Source organism: Homo sapiens, chromosome 15 (genome assembly GCF_000001405.40).
Source record: "Homo sapiens chromosome 15, GRCh38.p14 Primary Assembly".
NCBI classification, from domain to species: domain Eukaryota; kingdom Metazoa; phylum Chordata; class Mammalia; order Primates; family Hominidae; genus Homo; species Homo sapiens.
Genome location: NC_000015.10, coordinates 42,606,728 through 42,627,910, shown reverse-complemented (window position 1 = coordinate 42,627,910; position 21,183 = coordinate 42,606,728). Strand labels below are relative to the sequence as shown.

The window sequence follows — 21,183 nt, the reverse complement described above, 5'->3', positions numbered from 1 at the left end:
TCAAAAAGGTATCTGCACTCCCATGTTTATTGCAGTACTATTCACAATAGTGAGGATTTGGAAGCAACCTAAATGTCCATCAAGAGACAAACATAAACAAAATGTGGTACATATACAAAATGGAGTACTACTCAGCCATAGAAACAGTGAAACCCTGTCATTTACAAAAACATGGATAGAACTGGAACACATTACATTAAGTGAAATAAACCAGGCACAGAAAGACAAACTTGTGGGAGCTAAAAATTAAAACACTTGAACTCATGAAAACAGAGAGTAGAATGATGGTTACCAGAGGCTGGGAAGGGCAGTGGCGGTAGAGGGAAAGGGGGATGGTTAATGGGTACAAAAAAAGTTAGACAAAATGAGTAAGATCCAGTATTTGATAGCATAACGTGATTACTACAGCCAACAAAAATTTATTGTACATTTCAAAATAACTTTAAGAGCATAACGGGAATGTTTGTAACATAAAGAAAGGATAAATGCTTGAGGTGATGGATATCCCATTTACCCTGATGTGAGTACTACGCATTGTATGCCTGTATCAAAATATCTCATGTACCTCATAAATATATATACCTACTATGTACCCATAATTTTTTTTCTTTTTCTGAAACAAGGTTTCCCTCTGCTGCCCAGGCTAGAGTACAGTGGCACAATCACAGCTTACTGCAGCCTCAACTTCCCAGGCTCAAGCAATCCTCCCACCTTAGCCTCCCAAGTAGCTGGGACTACAGGCACATGTCCCCATGCCCAGCTAATTTTTGTATTTTTTGTAGAGATGGAGTTTTGCCATGTTACCCAGGCTGGTGTCAAACTCCTGGACTCAAAGCGATCCACCCACCTTGGCCTCCCAGAAAACAATTGGCCAAGCACGGTGGTACACACTTGTAATACCAGCACTTTGGGAGGCTGAGAGGCCTCAGCTACTTGGGAGGCTGAAGTTGAAGGATCGCTTTAGCCGCGGAGGTAGAAGTTGCAGTGAGCCGACATCACACCACTGCACTCCATCTACCTGGGGTGACAGAGAGAGACGCTGTCTTGAAAAAAAAAAACTGATATCAAAAACCCTCACATAAACCATTAAATTAAAGATGGCCAGGCGCGGTGGCTCACACCTGTAATCTCAGCACTTTGGGAGGCCGAGGTGGGTGGATCACCTGGGGTCAGGAGTTCGAGACCAGCCTGACCAACACGGTGAAACCCCGTCTCTACTAAAAAAAAAAAAAAAAATACAAAATTAGCTGAGCGTGGTGGCGCATGCCTGTAATCCCAGCTACTCAGGAGGCTGAGACAAGAGAATCATTAGAACCCGGGAGGCGGAGGCTGCAGTGAGCCGAAATCGCGCCACTGCGCTCCAGCCTGGGCAACAAGAATGAAACTCTTTCCCCTGCCACAAAAAAAAAAAAAGAAGAGGAAGAGGAAGAGGATGAAGAGGAGGAAGAGGAGAAGGAAGAGGAGGAGGAGAAGGAAGAAGAAGAAGAGGAGGAGGAGGAGGAAGAAGAGGAGGAGGAAGAGGAAGAGGAGGAAGAGGAGGAAGAAGAGGAAGAGGAAGAAGAGGAAGAGGAAGAAGAGGAAGAGGAGGAAGAAGAGGAAGAGGAAGAAGGGGAGGAAGAGGAAGAGGAGGAAGAGGAGGAGGAAGAGGAAGAGGAAGAGGAAGAAGAAGAAGAAGAATTAAAACTCTTGCCAGGTGTGGTGGCTCATGCCTGTAATCCCAGCACTTTGGGAGGCCGAGGCAGGCAGATCACCTGAGGTCAGGAGTTCTGAGACCAGCCTGGCCAACATGGTGAAACCCTGTCTCTACTAAAAAATACAACAATTAGCCAGGCGTGGTGGCAGGTGCCTGTAATGCCAGTTACTTGGGAAGCTGAGGCAGGAGAATAACTCGAACTTAGGAGGCAGAGGCTGCAGTGAGCCGATATCGCACCACTGTGCTCCAGCCTGGGCGACAGAACTAGACTCTGTCTCAAAAAGATAAATAAATAAAATAATAATAATAATAACTCTTTCTTCATGTCTTGAAGGTTTTGTTAGGGCTTAGGGGTCATTCTTTTTCTTTTATAAATACGAAAATCATTCCACTGAGAGAGAGGTTAGTTATTCAACAAAATACATGTAGTACTCAGCCCTTAATACCTTCCCACAGAAAAGTTTCATGCATGTCTATTACAAACTGAAATTGCTATTAAAAACTAAAATTTTCACACAGAAAAGAAGTTCTTCATTAGTTTTTCTTAATCTACCTAAAAAAAAAAAAAAATAGGAAGAAGAAAATAGCAGCCAGGCATGGTGGCTCATGCCTGTAAACCCAGCACTTTGGGAGGCCAAGGTGGGTGGATCACCTGAGGTCAGGAGTTCGAGACCAGCCTGGCCAACATGGTGAAACCCCATCTCTACTAAAATATAAAAATTAGCCGGGAGTGGTGGCGTGTGTCTGTAATCCCAGCTACTTGGAAGGCTGAGACAAGAGAACTGCTTGAGCCCGGGAGGCAGAGGTTGCAGTGAGCCGAGATCGCGCCACTGCACTCTAGTCTGGGCGACAGAGTCAGACTCTGTCTCCAAAAACAGAAAATAGCTTTAAGGCTGGGGGTGGTGGCTCATGCCTGTAATCCCAGCACTTTGGGGGGCTGAGGTGGGTGGACCACTTGAGATCAGAAATATGAGACTAGCCTGGCCAACATGGTGAAACCCCATCTCTACTAAAAATACAAAAATTAGCCGGGTGTGGTGGTACACATCTGTAATCCCAGCTACTTGGGAGGCTGAGGCAGGAGAATCGTTTGAACCTGGGAGGCAGAGGTTGCAGTGGGCCAAGACTGTGCCACCATACTCCAGCCTGGGTGACAGAATGAGACTGTATCAAAAAGAAAATAGCTTTAAATGTCTATGATGTATTCTGTTTAAATGAATTTTAAATATTACTTATCTCTATGGGTCTGTAACTCCATTGTTAAAATAAAAGAATTATATTAGAAAACTTTATTCCTTTTTAGAAAAATTGCTACTAAATGCAGTAACAGATAACATCTTTATTGACAAGTCAGTATTTGTGTATTCACTATGAAAATTATTCTCTCATGCCTGTAAACCCAGAACTTAGGGAGGCCAGGGCAGGTGAATCACCTGAGGTCAGGAGTTCGAGACCAGTCTGGCCAACATGGCGAAACCCTGTCTATATGAAAAATACAAAAATTAGCTGGGCGTGGTGGCGCATGCCTGTAGTCCCAGCTACTTGGGAGGCTTGGGCAGAAGAATCACTTGAACCTGGGAGGCGGAGGTTGCAGCGAGCCAAGATTGCGTCACTGCACTCCAGCCTGGATGACAGAGGGAGACTCTGTCTCAAAAAAAAAAAAAGACAACAGAAAATGGTGATAAACAAAAATGATCCCACTATTCAGAGATAATACATTCTTAACATTTTGGTGGTGAAATTACTCTTTCAGACTTTTGTTTTATTTCTAGATAATATATCTAATGTTCCTTCAAGATCTTAAATTCTGATGTAAATACAGTAATTAAGAATACCTAAATATAATGAGGATACTAAGCTGAACCTTGTTTTGTTATATTATAGACATAAATAGTGTTTTTCTGTTTATGCTTAGACAACTTAATATTTTTCATTTTAATTAGTAATTAAAATTTTCTATTTAATTTCCCAATGTATATAGCATGGGAAAGCATACTATAGCTCCACTCACAAGGCATCCAAGCCTTACATAAGCCACTGTCCACTTGGCAGTAGCTTACCCAAAGTGTGAACAGTCTAACAAGGGAAAGTGTCATCTGTGCCAGCTTTGCAAACATAAACCCACAGTTTCAGGAAATACTGTCCACACTTCATAAATGTCAGGTAAATTCTGGGCTGTTCCTTCAATCCCACTACAGGCCATTCATCTTTGGGTCTCTACCCAATATAAATGTTTATAGATGCATCTATTCCCATTGTAAGCCTAGCTAGAAGTTAACTGACATAATTTGGGCCCTGGCCCAAGTGTGGACCAGATACTATCCCTGATAAATTGCAGATTTTTCCAGGCAACAGCCTATATGTAACTTTGACAAATGAGTCTAGATTTCCTATTTGCCTTCTCCATTTTATGCTGTGAAATACAGAGATTTATTTCCCATGTTCGTCCACATTTTACATTTATCCATGCAATGCATACCATGGAAATTGGTATTTAAACAGTTCCCAAAGAACAAGAGAAGGGAGAGACTACAACAGAAATTTTGAAATGAAGGTAAACACGAACAAAGCCAAATGAAATCTATGCCATACCCAACGGAAAGAAAGAAGAGTCATTATTTTGAAAGAAATGAGTCTTGAACCATCCAAGTCCCAGAACTAGAATTCTCTTAATCTTGGAAGAAAGTATTTATTGAGTTCCTAACAGGAACCCAGCACCACACAGGACACTGAGAGAGGTTTGAAAAACCTTTCAAACACTGTCTTCAGTCCACAACAAACTTATCATATAGTTGGAGAGATAGACCATAGAGTCAGTAAACAGTTCAATACCAGTACATAGTAGAATATGAATAAAGAGGAGACATAAATATTATATTTGGAGAAAGGAAAATGACTGTGGCCTGAGGTAGTGAGGGAAATATTCATAGCAGTGTTGGCATTTGATCGGCATCTTTTTTTTTTTGAGACAGAGTTTCGCTCTTGTTGCCCAGGCTGGAGTGCAATGGCACAATCTCAGCTCACTGCAACCTCCGCCTCCCAGGTTCAAGCAATTCTCCTGCCTCAGCCTCCCAGGTAGCTGGGATTACAGGCATGCACCACCACACCCAGCTAATTTTTGTATTTTTAGTAGAGGTGGGGATTCTCCATGTTGGTCTGGCTGGTTTCAAACTCCCGACCTCAGGTGATCTGCCTGCTTCCGCCTCCCAAAGTGCTGGGATTACAGGCGTGAGCTACCACGCCTGGCCCTGATCTGCATCTTAAGCTATACTTACTTATTTCAAAGCACACTTTGAGAGAGGTCCCTACCTTGAAGCCCCACATAATGTCCCCAGATAAAGGCCTCTCTTCAGTGAGGTTGACCCCAGGACTGTATCACCATAAAATATAAAATGTATCCTTTTCATTTCAATCCTTCAGAACATCAGAGCTCTGGACAAAACAGGAGAACAACCATGTCACATGACTCCCTCTGAAAAATCTTTGTACTTCCATTTGTCATCTCTTAATACCTCACTGTCAACCTTGGAAAGTTCATAGTTACAACTAAAGATCTCCCACCTCAGGAACAACAGATACCCAGGCAAGTAACCACAGAGACAGTCAAACAAATCTCTCTGCCCCACCCCTTCCTTCAAGTTAGTTTTATTTGAACAAGGAAGTATGGATCCAAAACGGAGAGACATCCGCTGGGCAGTGGCTCATGCCTGAAGTCCCAGCTAATCAAGAGTCGGAGGTGGGAGGATCACTTGAGCCCAGGAGTTCAAGGTTGCAATCAGCTATGATCATGCAGCTGCGCTCCAGGGTAAGCAACAAAGTGAGACCCTGTCTCTAAAAAAAGAGAGAGACAGAGAGAGAGAGAGAGAGGGAGAGAGAGAGCGAGCTACAGGTGATAATGAGAAACTTGGCTTTCATTTTTCATTATTCTTTTTCTTTGTTTTTTGTTTTTAAGGGTCTCACTCTGTCTCCCAGGCTGGAGTGCAGTGGTACAATCACAGCCCACTACAGCTTTGAATTCCTGGGCTCAAGGAGTTGCCGTGGCCTCCAAGTAGCTAGGACTACAGTTGCACACCACCACAGCCAGCCTCATCATCAGATAAAGGAGTTATAAATTAGGAGAGGAAGAAAGCAAGAATGAATTATTTTCCTTTAATGTAGAGTCAAGGAAACAAAAAAGAATGAATTGTATGGTATTAGATCAGAATCAGTGAGAATTCATAGGCTTCAATATAGATTGAAAAAGAAATAGATAAATGTATGTGTATATATATGAAAATGTATATGCAAATATATATTCCCTAGCTTTGTCTAACTTTACCAAGAGGACCTGAAAACAGTGATACCCCAACAGAAATGATCACATCTAGCACCCAGAACTTGGTTTCTAAATATCATTTTCCACTAACAGGAACAAAATGAGCATCACAATTGTTAAGTTTAGCCTAAAGCTGTCTCCTTGCAGATTTTAAGTTTGTCCTAAGGGTTTCTCCATACATAGTGATTATAACCTAACTAAATGTATAAACAGACTGTAACCTACTTTTGTAACAAGTAGCCAAGTTTCAACCAATCACAGACAGCCAACTGTTCAAACTGTGTTCAAATGAAGAAAATGAGCTGTAACCAATCCAGCTGTTTCTGTACCTCATCCCTCTGTTTTCTGTATGTCACTTTCCTTTTTCTGTCCAAAAGTGTTATCCAACCATGTGGCAGCCTCAGGCTGTATCTGAACCTATCGTAGTTCTAGGGGCTGCCTTATTTGTAAATTCTTCTTTGCTCAATTAAGCTCTGTTAAATTTGTCTAAAATTTTTCTTTTAACACAATAAGCAATGATAGTAACAGGTTGTAATCCACTGTATAAAATGAGAAACCATGAATCAAAGATATAATATATAATATAACCATGGATCACAGATATAAATAATTTGAAAGTCTGATGAGGGCCGGAATACATAGTTTCAAAGTACTTCCTACAAAATATTTATTAAATACAAAATATTTATTAATTACAAAGAAGAGAAAGAGTAACTTTACAGTGAAAAAAATCTGGCAGACACCACCTTAATCAAGCAATCAAAGTAAATTCAGTGATACTGGTATCAAGGATACATAATCTGAATGTAATCATGAGGAGACACTGGACAATCCAAATTAAGGGACATGTATACCAGGTGGTGGCTCACCCCTATAATCCCAGCACTTTGGGAGGCTGAGGCGGGTGGATCACTTGAGGTCAGGAGTTCGAGACCAGACTGGCCAACATGGTGAAACCCCATCTCTACTAAAAATACAAAATTAACCAGGCATGGTGGCAGGCACCTATAATCCCAGCTACACAGGAAGCTGAGGCAGGAGAACTGCTGGAACCTTGGAGGTGGAGGTTGCAGTGAGCCAAGATTGTGCCACTGCACTCCAGCCTGGGCGACACAGGGAAACTCTGTCTCCAAAATAAAATAAAATAAAATAAAATAAAATAAAATAAAATAAAAGGGACATTCTACAAAATAATTGGCCTGTAATCTTCGTAAGTGTTAAGATCATGAACATCAGGGAAAAACTGAGGACCTATTCCAGACTGAATTAGACTAGAGTTAAGATAACTAAATGCAACAAGTGATGCTGAACTTAATCTTTTTGCTGTAAGGATCTTACTAGGACAATCAGTGAATCCTGAATGAAGTCTAAGGATTAGATGGCAGCAATTAACACTTTAATTTCCTGAAAATTTTTTTTTTTTGAGACAGGTCTCACTCTGTTACCCAGACTGGAATGAAGTGGTGTGATCACAGCTCACTGCAGCCTTGACCTCCCAGGCTCAAACAACCCTCCTGCCTCAGCCTCTGGAGTAGCTGGGAATACAGGTGCGAGCCACCATGCCCAGCTAATTTTTTAATTTTCTGTAGAGACATAGTCTCGGAAAAAAAAAAAAATCTACTTATAACTGCTGCTAATTGGAGTGTATATTCAGGGCAACTTGAACCTCTGCTCCCAGGTTGCAATGCTCAAGTTGGCCCAAACAAACTTTCTGCTTATTTTGCCTCAGCTTCTTCCTTTTAGGTCAACTGTGAGAAGCAGGAAACCACAAAGAGTAGTCCAGTAACCTAGAACCAACAAAAATGGAAATTCACCACTGCTGGGCCCAAAGAGCCAAGGGAAAGAGATGGTCACCTGGAAGGAGAATCATGAAGAGAAACCAGCTTAAGGGAAGCTTTAAAGTTAAAAGATGCCAGAACAAAACAATCCTACTGGAGGAAACCCCTCCTGCTGATCTGAATAAAGGCCTCTCGTTTATTCAACCCCAACCTCAAGCCTTAGGGCAAGTTAGCCATTGATTAGCTCAACAGTATATTCATCTTAAGGAATGAGTGGGAACAAAAGCAAAATAAACCAAAAGAAATTGGGTAAAGCTTGAGTCAGGGCTCCCCAACCAGGAACCAGGCCACACAGCAGGAGGTGAGTGGTGGGCAGGCAGGCGAGGAGCAAGTAAAGCTTCATCTGTATTTACAGCTACTCTCCCATTGCTCACTTCATTGCCTGAGCTCTGCCTCCTGTCAGATCAGCAGAGGCATTACATTTTCACAAGAGTGTGAACCCTATTAAACTGCACAGGTGCCTGCGAGGGTTCTAGGCTGCATGTTCCTTACGAGAATTTTTTTTTTTTTTTTGAGACAGTCTTGCGCTGTCACCCAGGCTGGAGTGCAGTGGCACGATCTTGGCTCACTGCAACCTAAAACCCCTCCCCTTCCACCTCAGCTACTCAAGTAGCTGGGACTACAGATGTGTGCCACCATGCCCGGCTAATTTTTTTTTAATTTTTTGTAGAGATGTCTCACTTTGTTGCCCAGGCTGAAAATCCCGTCTTAAAAGGTTACATACTACATTAAGTCTATGTATGAGATTCTGGAAAAAGCAAAACTAAAGGAACAAAAAGCATATCAGTGGTTGCCAGGGGTTAGGGTGGCAGGATAGTGTGAATACAAAGGGGCAGCACTTGGGAATTCCTGGAGTTGTTCAAATCATTCTGTGTCCTGTCTGTGGTGATTACAAGAATCTATGCATGTGTAAATATTCATGGAAATGTACACCAAAAAAGTAAACTTTACCATATGTAAATTTAAATTTTTAAAAATTCAACAAAATTAGGAAGAGTGAAAAACTGAAATAAAAGAGTAAAAACTGAAATTAACAGACTAGAAAACAAAATGTGTTATAAAGAATAAATATTTACAAAAGCAATTTCTTTGGAAAAACAATGAAATAGATAATGCCAGATTAAGATAGGAAAAGATTAAAAAAAATATCTGGGGACAAGAAAAAAGAACCATATATAAAAGACAAAACTGTTGGCCAGGCGCGATGGCTCACACTTCTAATCCCAGCACTTTGAAAGGCCGAGGCAGGTGGATCACAAGGTCAAGATGGTGAAACCCCATCTCTAATAAAAATACAAAAATTAGCCAGGCGTGCTGGTGCACTCCTGTAGTCCCAGCTACTCGGGAGGCTGCGGCAGGAGAATCGCTTGAACCCAGGAGGCAGAGGTTGCGGTGAGCCGAGATCACACCACTGCACTCCAGCCTGGTGACAGAGCAAGATTCAAAAAAATAAATAAATAAAAAATAAAAATAAAAAAAGACAACTTTTTTTTCAAGTATTTTTTAAATTAGAAGAGGACATTCATGCATAGTGATATACTCTAGCACCATATATTTGGAAACCTAGATGAAATGGATGATTATCTAGCCCAATATAAATTAACAAAATCAACACAAATAAAAGTGTATAGTGGCAGGGTGTGGCGGCTCATGCCTGTAATCCTAGCACTTTGGGAGACTGAAGCAGGAGGATCACTTGAGCACAGGAGTTCACGACCAACCTGGGCAACATAGGGAGACCCCATCTCTACAAAAAATACAAAAATTAGCCAGGTGTGGTGGCGCACACCTGTACTCCCAGCTACTCAGGAGGCTGAGGCAAGAGGATCAATTGAGCTCAGGAGGTCAAGAATGCAGTGAGCTATGATCACACCACTGCACTCCAGCCTGGGAGACAGCAAGGCCCTGTAAATCATAAATAAATAGTAAATAAAAGTGTATACTAAAGAAATACATAATAAAAGTATACTACTAAATACATAAAGTGTGTACTAAATGAAGGAATGGGCTAGGCACGGTGGCTCATGCCTATAATCCCAGCACCTTGAGAGGCCAGGCAGGAGGATCACTTGAGCCCAGGAGTTTCAGACTAACCTCAATAAGATAGTGGGACCCCGTATGTACAAAAAATAAAAAAATTAGCAGAGTGTCATAGTGCATGCTGGCATTCCCAGCTACTCTGGAGGCTGAGGCTGGGGTGGAAGTATCGCTTGAGCCTGGGACGTTGAGGCTGCAGTGGGCTATAATCGTGCCACTGCACTCCAGCCTGAACAAAAGAGCAAGACCCTGTCTCTAGAAAAGAAAAGAACAAAATAAAAATTTAAACAAAAACGAAGGAATGAAAACAACAGTGAAAGAGAATTTAAAAATCAAATGGTAGTACAATAAACAAAATTGTTTAGATTCCTTTTCTATATAAAGTTGTGATAATGTGTAATGACTGTTGAAAGCACAAGTTAGCATACTCACATTCCCCCCATTGAAAGCTGTGTATATTTATGTACACAGGAGTCGCTTTCATTCTTGAATCCAATTCCAACTAGGGTGATAACTATTATCACCTAGTCCCAGCTACTCGGGAGACTGAGGCAGGAGAATCCCTTGAACCTGGGAGGAGTAGGTTGCAGTGAGCCAACATCGTGCCACTGTACTCCAGCCTGGACAAGAAGAGCAAAACTCTGTCTCCAAAGAAAAAAAAATTATTATAGGTAATAGTTATCACCCTATAAATGTTCTTTTCCTCCTAATTTTCTGAAGTCAAACATTAATTTGACTGGCATTAATTTCTGAAATCCTATATTAATCAAAATATGTGAAATAATGTTGAACTAATCAGACACTCTAATAAAATTATGTGAAAGGAATGAAAATTATTTATTCCACCAGTATTTGTAAAGCATGTACTAAAGCAAAACACTGTGCTGGGCACGGCTCTTACTGTGTAAGGTGAATTGTTAGGATTCTTTTACACAATGAATACTTCATTAGAAGTGTTCTATTCAAAACCAGCATTTTAGATCCATATAGCTAATAACACTTAACTCAGGAATTATTTTTGTATTAGATTACTTCTTAGCACCTTAAAGATTAACTCATTTAATCCTTACAATACATTTATGAAGTAGTTACTGTTATTCTCTAACTTTCTTTTTGTATTTTTTTTTTTTTTTTTTTGAGAGGAAGTCTCGCTCTGTCACCCAGGCTGGAGTGCAGTGACGCGATCTCAGCTCACTGCAACCTCTGCCTCCTGGGTTCGTGCCATTCTCCTGCCTCAGCCTCCCGAGTAGCTGGGACCACAGGTGCCCGCCACTACACCCAGCTAATTTTTTGTATTTTTAGTAGAGATGGGGTTTCACCGTGTTAGCCAGGATGGTCTCGATCTCCTGACCTGGTGATCCGCCCACCTCAGCCCCCCAAAGTGCTGGGATTACAGGTATGGGCCACTGCACCCGGCCATTCTCTAACTTTCCTATGAGAAAAATGAAGGCACACAGCTAGTAGTAGGTACTTCTAAACAAAGCTCTTGCTCTGAACCACTGTGATATTCTGCCGCTAACAAAATAACTCTGTTGGCAGAGTTATCAGGAAAGGCAAATCTTATCTGTTGAACACTAAGCTATTACTCTACAATTTAAAATTGTTCCTCAAGGTTCCTTACTTTCCGTTGTTTCACTTTACAGTGGAAGAAACTTTACCATGTCTCCCCTTCAGTATTTCTGAATAACAGTCTTACTAATATTTTGAAATGGCCTTTGGCCAAAAGTAATAAAATCTGATCCCACTCCCATTTGTTGATCGTTTTTGGAGTCTTTTGCCCATTATTAACCTTTCATTTGCACATAAATCATTTCTGGAGTCTTTTTGCCTATTATTAACCTTTTCATTGCACATATTAACCTTTTCATTTGCACAAGTTTCACCCACATGGCCATTATTAAATGAGTAGAACACAATTACATTTTTTCTTTGCTGTTTTTCAAATTACAAACAATGCTCACTTCTTATACCAAGCGAAAAAAAAAATACAATGTTTGAGAAAAAGCTCACCCCAATCCTACTCATTGAAGTACTCAAATAGTGGCCTGATGTGTTTCCTTCCATACCTTTCTCCACATATACAAGGATTTTTGTGGTCTTTGTTTTATTTTTACTGAAATAGATACATACAATATACATCAACCTGCTTTTTATCACATATCATGGACATAAAGACTGTATCTATTAGCTATGCATATAACTCTTCTTTTTCATGTGTACACATACAGCCACAGTTACACAAAATACTATTTAAAATAATTGAGACAGCATTCATGCTGAGGTGGGAACGCTTTATCTCCTTTTTTTTTTTTAATCTCCTTTTCATCTCCCTTCTCTCTTTCCTCCTATGTTAATTCTCACTCCCAGATAACATGTTAACATCAGGCATCCTTTCTTGTTCCTCCCATAGTCATAATCATAAACACACACATTTTTATATATATATAATATGGGTTTTATATATAACCCATATATATATATGGGATGTTTTTTAATATTTTTTAAAAATGGGATGTTATTAAATAATTTTTTAACTAAAAAATGGGATGCTGTCATATTCTTTTTCAGTCAATACCATTTCATGGAAATTCTTCCAAGGAAGATGCAATGTATTTCATCCTATGAATATACCAAAACTGATTCAACTATTACGAGCAATCACTTTGTTTCTACTATCTTATCCTTACTAACAATGTTTCCAGTAAACATCCTTGACCATGGCTGGGTGTGGTGGCTCATGCCTGTAATCCCAGCACTTTGGGAGGCGGAGGCATCGGATCACTTGAGGTCAGGAGTTTGAGACCAGACTGGCCAACATAGTGAAACGCTCTCTCTACTAAAAATACAAAAAAATTAGCCAGCATGATGGTGGGCTCCTATACTCCTAGCTACTCCAGAGGTTGAGGCAGGAGAATCACTTGAACCCAGGAGACAGAGATGGCAGTGAGCCAAGATGGTGTCACTGCACTCCAGCCTGGACGACAGAGCAAGACTCCTGGAAAAAAAAAAAAAAATCCTTGACTATATATCTTTATGAACTGCTGTTTTCTGTTTTTGTTTTTTGAGACGGAGTCTCGCTCTGTCACCTAGGCTGGAGTGCAGTGACACGATCTCAGCTCACTGCAACCTCCGCCTCCCGGGTTCAAGGGATTCTCCCGCCTCAGCCTCCCGAGTAGCTGGGATTACAGGTGCCCACCACCATGCCTGGCTAATTTTTGTATTTTTAGTAGAGACGGGGTTTCACCACGCTGGCCAGGCTGGTCTTGAAGTCCTGACGGCATGATCTGCCCACCTCGGCCTCCCAAAGTGGTGGGATTACAGGCGTGAGCCACCGTGCCCAGCCTGGTGTTTTTATTTTTATAGAGTAAGTTTCAGGTGTGGGACCCCTAGGTCAAAGGGTAAAATATTTATTTTAATACATATTGCCAGATGGCTTTCCCAAAAGCTGTAACAATTTTACATTTCCATCGAAAATGTATGGGCCCTCTTCTGCACATTCTCACCAGCAATCAGCATCACTGTTCTTTTTCACTGTTCCTAGTTTAAAGGAAACAAACTGGTATCTTGTTACTAGAGTAACAATGAGTTTGAGCTCATCATTCATTTTTTGGGCCATTCGGTTTTGCTCTCCTATGAAGTGCCTACTTCGACTGTTTTTCTACTGAACTGCTTTTTCTTTTTCTTGTCCACTTAAAAGCCTTCTTATAATTTTTTTTTTTTTTGACAGTCTCGCTCTGTCACCAGGCTGGAGTGCAATGGCACGATCTTGGCTCACTGCAACCTCCACCTCCCAGGTTCAAGTGATTCTCCTCCCTCAGCCTCCCAAGTAATTGGGAGTACAGGCGCCCACCACCACGTCTGGCTAATTTTTGTATTTTTAGTAGAGACGGGGTTTCACCATGTTGGTCAGGGCAGTCTTGAACTCCTGACCTTGTGATCTGCCCGCCTCAGCCTTCCAAAGTGCTGGAATTACAGGCATGAGACACCGTGCCCAGCCTGATACACTGTTATTATGGAAGCCATTATTTTATTCAGATGTCCTCATTCTTTTTTTTTTCTTTCCGAGATGCAGTCTTGCTCTGTCACCCAGGTTGGAGTGCAGTGGCAGGATCTCGGCTCACCGCAGCCTCTGTCTCCTGGGTTCAAGTGATCCTCCTCCCTCAACCTCCCGAGTAGCTGGGATTACTGACGCAAGCCACCACACCCGGCTAACTTCTGTATTTTTAGTAGAGATGGGGTTTTGTCATGTTGGCCAGGCTGGTCTCAAACTCCTGACCTCAGATGATCCACCCGCCTCAACCTCCCAAAGTGCTGGGATTACAGGTGTGAGCCATCTCGCCCAGCCGATAAATTCTTGATATGGTATCAGAGAAGTCAATAATGACAACAGACAGCACTTATTATCTGCTAAGCACTATTATAAGTGCTTTACATTTATTTACTAATATAGTCCTCACAACTCCTCTCAGGTATTATTATTATCCTCATTTTATAGATAACTGAGGCACAGAAATATAAATGGACTTGCTCAGGATTATGGCCAGTAAATTATGAATCTGGGAAATAAACCATACTTTTTAATCACTATGCTTGACCATCTTTCACCTAGAAGGGGTTGGGGTACCAAAGATGAAAGTTTAGGGTCTCTCTGGTATCAGATCCTAAAATATCCCCTCTTTGCTAAATGCTACTCTTTTATTACCTTTATTGGAAGGTAAAAATGCAAAAATGGAAATCTCTCTGTCCCTAGGCCAGTCCCCTAAGTCCCTGTCTAGTGCTTCATTTTCTGAAAAGTTAAAAAACAAAAAAAGGAAAGAAAAAGAAAATAACAAATAGGAGGAGTTTATATAGAGATAACAGATACATACACTCATTATACAGATGACAGATATACATAAATGCATACAGAAACATAAATCCATATTCCCAGCATAAGACCCTAGTTCCTGAGGGAACCAGAAAAAGTTAGCTTTGAGATAATCAAAAATATTTTCTTTTCTTTATACAGATGTTGCTCTTTTTTTTTTTTTTTTTTTTCCCCTCTGAGACATAGTCTCGCTCTGTTGCCCAGGCTGGAATGCAGTGGCAGGATCTTGGCTGACTGCAACCTCCACCTCCCAGGTTCAAGCAATTCTCCTGCCTCAGCCTCCTGAGTAGCTAGGATTACAGGCATGTGCAACCACACCCTGCCAATTTTTGTACTTTTAGCAGAGACGGGGTTTCACCACGTTGGCCAGGCTGGTCTCAAACTTCTGACCTCAGGTGATCCGCCCACCTCGGCCTCCCAATTGATAGGATTATGGGCATGCGCCACTGCAACCTGCTGGATTTTGCTATTTCTGTCAGTGCTTCTTTTTGCTAAAGAATGTTCCCATGGACAACTGTCCGAGTAGCATGTGAGATCTGATAAATTCCTTATGAGGCTATCCTAACAGACAGATGGACATCTAGCTCTAACACTTCCCTCCTCCCTACAAAAAGATGGATTCATTAGAATCCTGTGAGAAATGATAAAAGATAGCTTTATTGGAATAGACTCTAAGTTCTTGCCGTTCCCACAGCCTCTTCTAAAAAGACAACCACAAATGATTCCTTTATCATAATTTACCATGTTTTATGTCACTTCTTTCCAGAGCCTCACTGACTCGATTTCCAAGCAAAGGTAAGCATTTTTAGCATGAGCCTAAGACTCATGTTCTTAGGTGCTCACTGTCAGCTCACAGATGACCCAAATAAGAATGCTAATAAGGGGCCAGGCGAGGTGGCTCCGGCCTGTAATGCCACCATTTTGGGAGCCCAAGGTTGGAGGATCACTTGAGGCCAGGAGTTTGAAACCAGCTTGGGCAATATAGAGAGACCCTGTCTCTACAAAAAATATAAAGATTAGCCAGGTGTGGTGGAACATGCTTGTAGTTCTAGCTACTTCAGGAGGCTAAGGCCCTGAGACAGGATGATCACTTGAGCCCAGGAGATTGAGGCTGCAGTGAGCCATGATTGTGCCACTGCACTCCAGCCTGGACGACAGAGTGAGACCCTGTCTCTAATAATAATCATAATAATGTTAATAAGGGTATGCCAAAGATTAACTGATCAACTCTTTTGGGGAGTTCTTGACAGGAGAGAGGTACCATTAGTCTCTTATAGTTACTGTTGAATTCTGAGCAGTAATAAATAATATTCCAGTGTCATGTGGCTTGGCTGTGTGACTGCTGACAGTTTCCAGTTTATTTCCCCACATAGCCTTAATGACCCACAATGTGAGATAACCTAATCACCCCTCGTCCTTGTATCCTGAAAAAGCCCTAATACAATGGCAAGTTTAACAGCCAACAGCAACAAGCATAAAGTAGACACACTGAAGAGCAGTTGTATGAGAAGTGGACATGTTAGCAGTCTGCCCAGCAGCTGGCCTGGACAAGGACAATGAGGGTGGCAGTATAAAAGATGGCATGATTATCAAGGTTGAGGGAGTCTTTATCTAGTCATAGGCAAAACCCAAGAAGGGTAAGCTGTGTCTCTGTCTAAAGGATAGTATATTTAAAAGGTGATGCTGGACTAAAGATCCAAAAGAAGGCTTTCCTTCCATCAGGTGGAATTTCCAAGAACGAGAATGTCTCCAACAATTGAGGCAAATCCTCTGGGAACATTTCCATTCCTAATAATTAAGGATCCTACAAGGCAGACACTGGCAAACTTTTTCTATCAAGAGCCAGATAGCAAGTATTTTCAGCTTTGTGGATCATAATGTTTCTGTCACAACTACTCAACTCCATCTTTGTAGTATACAAAATCATCCACAAATATTACATAAACTAATGGACATGGCTGTATTTCAAAAAATCTTTACTTTCTAAAACAGGTGGTGGCAAGATTTGGCCCACAGATCATAGTTTGCCAAGCCCTGCTGTAGGGCAAAAGTCCTTTTTAGAGCCAACTTCAAAAAATAGAATAGATTTGTGGGTTTCCATAGAAAAAGGGGGAAAAAAGCAAGACTAAGAGAGTCCTGGGTACTTTCAATCCTTGGAAATTCATTAAAATAATTTATCATTGAAAATAAAATGAAAGTACATATACAGATCACCTCGACCCATTTTCTTACTGTGACTGATACTATATCAAAGTTAAAGCCATTCAACAAACTCAACAGTGAGTAATCTATCAGTTAAGAAAGAATCAGTTTGGGCCAGGCACGGTAGCTCACGCCTGTAATCCCAGCACTTTGGGAGGCTGAGATAAGCGGATCACCTGAGGTCAGGAGTTCAAGACCAGCCTGGCCAACATGGCGAAACCCCGTCTCTACTAAAAGTACAAAAATAAGTCGGGCGTGGTGGCGGGTGCCTGTAATCCCAGCTACTCAGGAGGCTGAGGCAGGAGAAGCTTGAACCCGGGCGGCGGAGGTTGCAGTGAGCCAAGATTGCGCCACTGCACTCCAGCCTGGGCGACAAGAGTGAGACTCTGTCTTAAAAAAAGAAAAGAAGAAGAAAAAGAAAGTATAAGTTTGGCTATTGCAGCAAACCCCAAAAGAATAGTGGTTTAAACAATGAAGTTTATTTCTGGCTTATGCTACACAGGAGTCAGTAGGGGACACTGATTGTTACAGCTTCTCTAGGGCCCAACTGAGAGAACAACCCATCTCCAATGTTGCTGATCATGCTGCCGAAAGGAAAGAGGGCTTTAGAGGGTCATATCCCAGCAATCAAAGGCTCAGACATTATTTCTGCTAATAACCCACTGGCTAGAACCAATCACATGGCCCCACCTAACCAAGTGGGGCTGGGAAGTGAAATCCTAGCAGCAGAAGATGAAGGGCAATGAATATTCAGCGAGCAGCAAAAATGACTATCATAAAGCAATGGTTATGCTGCTTTTACGTAAATGATCACAAAATGAGACTCTTATTCAAACACATTTCTTTATTTTTTATTTTATTTCTTGGAGATAGTGTCTCGTTCTGTCGCCCAGGCTGGAGTTCAGTGCCGTGATCTAAGCTTACTGCAACCTCCACCTCCTGCGTTCAAGTGATTCTCCTGCCTCAGCCTCGCGAGTAGCTGGGATTACAGGAGCCCACCACCATGCTCAGCTAATTTTTGAATTTTTAGTAGAGATAGGGTTTTGCCATATGGGCCAGGCTGGTCTGGAACTCCTGACCTCAAGTGATCCATCCGCCTCAGCCTCCCAAAGTGCTGGAATTGCAGGCATGAGCCACCACACCCAGCCATTATTCAAATACATTTCTGATTAACTAGTTAGCCAGAAACCACTGTCACCTTCACTTAAATTAAAATTTCAGGGCTGGGCACGGTGGCTCACACCTGTAATCCCAGCACTTTGGGAGGCCAAGGCAGGCAGATCACGAGGTCAGGAGTTCAAGACTAGCCTGGCCAACATGGTGAAACCCGATCTCTATTAAAAACACAAAAATTAGCTGGGCGTGGTGGCGCGTGCCTGTAGTCCCAGCTACTCAGGAGGCTGCAGCAGGAGAATTGCTTGAACCTGGGAGGCAGTGGTTGCAGTGAGTCAAGATTGTGCCACTGTACCCCAGCCTGGTGACAGAGCAAGACTCCATCTCAAAAAAAAAAAAAAAGTTTTAAAAATAGTTGTTTCCTCACAAGCAAAGAAATGACACAGATCTACTAAAGAATCTTTTGACCATACCGTCTCTTCTGCAGAAGTGTGTTCATGACACACTGACTGAGCCACATTAGGGTTATGAATAGAAGCCAGGGTTAGAGAGAGGACTTGGGTCACGTTCTGAGGGCTTAGAAGCCTTCTTCAACACTCGACTTATTTGGGCAGAATGACATCACAGAAGAAAAAAAGCATTTCCTTTCTAGCTTTTAGTTTTCTCTTTGTCCCCTTTCTCTTCTTCCAATATATTCCCCTTCCCGCCCCCCACTATCCTCAGCAGCAAAATCATTCAAAAGAGCAGCAGTCCCAGGAGTTTGGTCTCTAGATCTAGGGATGCCCGGAACTGTCATAAGAAAACCCTAGCAAGCCCCTGAGGTACCAAAGAGGAAAGAGGATCTCACACATCTAAGGCTGAAGCTGGGACATGGCACCCAGCAACAACGCACAGTGCATGCTCGGTTAACACTGACTGAATACATGAATACATAATCTATGGACTGAATCCAGAATAGTCACAATAAATGAGTGTTGACTAAAATTAAATTATAGCTGTTCTTTAGGTTTCCCCCAATCCTTTCTGCATTAATTTCCACATATTTGATCTTCAGGCAAGATAAACATTACCAGGTCAGTATCTTCCACAAAGCACCGTTTTCATATTTTTGATTGTGTTCACAAGAGCTCTTTATCACCTTTTGGTATTGGGTCCTGTCAGCACTCTGAGAGGTAGTCCAATATGTCAAAGATGCTTCAAGTTTTTTTGGTTGCTAATAATTTTATATAAGAAAACAAGCCTGGAGGATGGAGTTTTTGTTCTTAACATTCATTCCTGCCTATGTGGAAAAAACTTTTCCTGCAATCAGGCTGCTAGGAGCAAATTTCCTGTTTTTAATACTGTTTAGTCTAAATGGGTCTCTAGAGACCAATCTTAATGTAAGAGAAGCAAGGGAGCTGAGCCTCTGAGACAATTCCGGTTTCATTGTTGGGTTCAGCCAGCCCAGGTGAAGCCCATATCATTCTTGGCAATCCAGGGTCTGGTTGAAGAGATTAGTTATGTGTTCATCTGAACAGCATCCACCTCACGCATCCGGCTGGCAGGGTCCTGTCTTCCCTCAAGCCACACTACCCACAAACCACACTACCCTCCTCCAATCCTAAAGACTAGCTTGCAGAAGGGCAGTGCTGCATGCCAGAGTCACAAGATCTCTAACCACACTCGTCTGTGGCACTTCTTACACCTCAGCCCTTCATAGCAAGTCACTTCAACCAAGCAAACAAAGCCTGACTCCAGCCTTAGCCCATATCCCTGGACAAAGGTGTTTCTCAAGGTTGTCTCAGCAACTTACCAAAGTGTATGCAAAAAAACAAAAAATAAGATAATGGAAAAGAGACCTGCGGGGGGTGGGGGTGAGCACTCAGCTCCACAATTACTTGTTAGTGACAACTAAGAAATATACTGACACAAACCTGGACAGTCAATCAGGAACTTGAGGCTGGTTTTCAATAAAACATAGTAAACCTCTAAAAATCCTAACGGAGCTGACAAATGCCTAAGAGATTCATCCTCCCTACTGTGTAAGTACTTCTATGTGGAAGATACTGATCAGAGGGGGGTAAATAAATACTTGCTAGAAAATAAATACTTGGAAGCAGGTGGGATTTAGGAAAAACCTGTAAAACAATATAGGATTTAATTATATTCAAATATATATTTGTGTGTGTGTGTGTGTGTGTGTGTGTGTGTGTGTATAAGTGTGTGTGTGTATAATATATTAAGATTCTCCTAGATTCAGTCTGGAGGTCCTGTATTTATTCTTTCCCTCTCTAATATGAAACTGGAATTCCTAGGGTACTCCACAGATGAGAAAGAATCTATTCAGAAAAAGAGGCATCAGGAGGGTGGGCACAGTGGCTCACACCTGTCATCCCAGCACTTTGGGAGGGTGAGGTGGGCAGATCACTTGAGGTCAGGAGTTTGAGACCAGCCTGGCCAACATGGTGAAACCCCATCTCTACTAAAAATATAAAAATTAGCCGCGCATGGTGGTGCATGCCTGTAGTCCCAGCTACTCAGGAGAATGAGGCAGGAGAATTGCTTGAACCCAGGAGGCGAAGGTTGTAGTGAACTGAGATCGCACCACTGTACTCCAGCCTGGGTGACAGAGAGAGACTCCATCTTAAAAAAAAAAAAAAAAAAAAAAAAAAGCACCAGAAAAATGCAGGGTTGTGCTGGGAAGGAAAAAGAGCACAATGGTTACAGGGTTGTGCACAGACTTTAGACTCCTCCATGTGGAGGACGTGGCACATGCCTGTAGTCCCAGCTACTCAGGAAGCTAAGGTGGTAGGATCACTTGAGCCCGGGAGATAGAGGCTGCAGTGAGCTATGATCACGCCACTGCACTCCAGCCTGGGAGACAGAGTGAGACCTTGTCAATCAATCAATCAATGAAGTACACTTCAAAACCCAGCCTCTGGGTCAGAATGAGTGAAATGAAGCATCCATTTGCTATAATGGGTGAGCTATTTTTTGTGCCTTAGAGAGTAGCTGGGTCAGTTAGGTCTACTCAGGGGATTCAGAAGAAAGCACCCTGACTGTACATGTATACAAGCACTTACTCTGGATACAAAACTAAAAATAGGCTGGGCGCAGTGGCTTACACCTGTAATCCCAG

General features: G+C 42.0%; 1 protein-coding gene across 15 annotated transcripts in view, besides 3 other annotated features; it reads right to left on the bottom strand.

The window, feature by feature from the left end:
- STARD9 (StAR related lipid transfer domain containing 9) overlaps positions 1-21,183 on the bottom strand; it is a 145,393-nt gene that overhangs the window by 93,088 nt on the left and 31,122 nt on the right. Inside the window, exon 1 of one of the 15 annotated variants that reach the window (XM_017022441.3) lies at positions 5,003-13,221. The exons of the other annotated variants lie outside the window; for them this stretch is intronic. Coding sequence (XP_016877930.1) covers positions 5,003-5,017 — 15 coding nt within the window. The 5' untranslated portion in view covers positions 5,018-13,221. Of the gene's footprint in view, positions 1-5,002; positions 13,222-21,183 lie in introns of those variants that run through there. 15 annotated transcript variants of the gene reach the window in all.
- Positions 7,248-8,012: an enhancer, noted in NCBI's record as "OCT4-NANOG-H3K27ac hESC enhancer chr15:42912097-42912861 (GRCh37/hg19 assembly coordinates)". NCBI's record gives its function as "activates a minimal SCP1, AML or CMV promoter by ChIP-STARR-seq in naive H9 embryonic stem cells {active_cell/tissue: H9 hESC(naive)}" and the evidence as "EXISTENCE:reporter gene assay evidence [ECO:0000049][PMID:30033119]".
- Positions 8,013-8,778: an enhancer, noted in NCBI's record as "OCT4-NANOG-H3K27ac hESC enhancer chr15:42911331-42912096 (GRCh37/hg19 assembly coordinates)". NCBI's record gives its function as "activates a minimal SCP1, AML or CMV promoter by ChIP-STARR-seq in primed H9 embryonic stem cells {active_cell/tissue: H9 hESC(primed)}" and the evidence as "EXISTENCE:reporter gene assay evidence [ECO:0000049][PMID:30033119]".
- Positions 18,599-18,868: an enhancer, noted in NCBI's record as "active region_9307". NCBI's record gives its function as "activates an Ori minimal core promoter by ATAC-STARR-seq in GM12878 lymphoblastoid cells {active_cell/tissue: GM12878}" and the evidence as "EXISTENCE:reporter gene assay evidence [ECO:0000049][PMID:35858748]".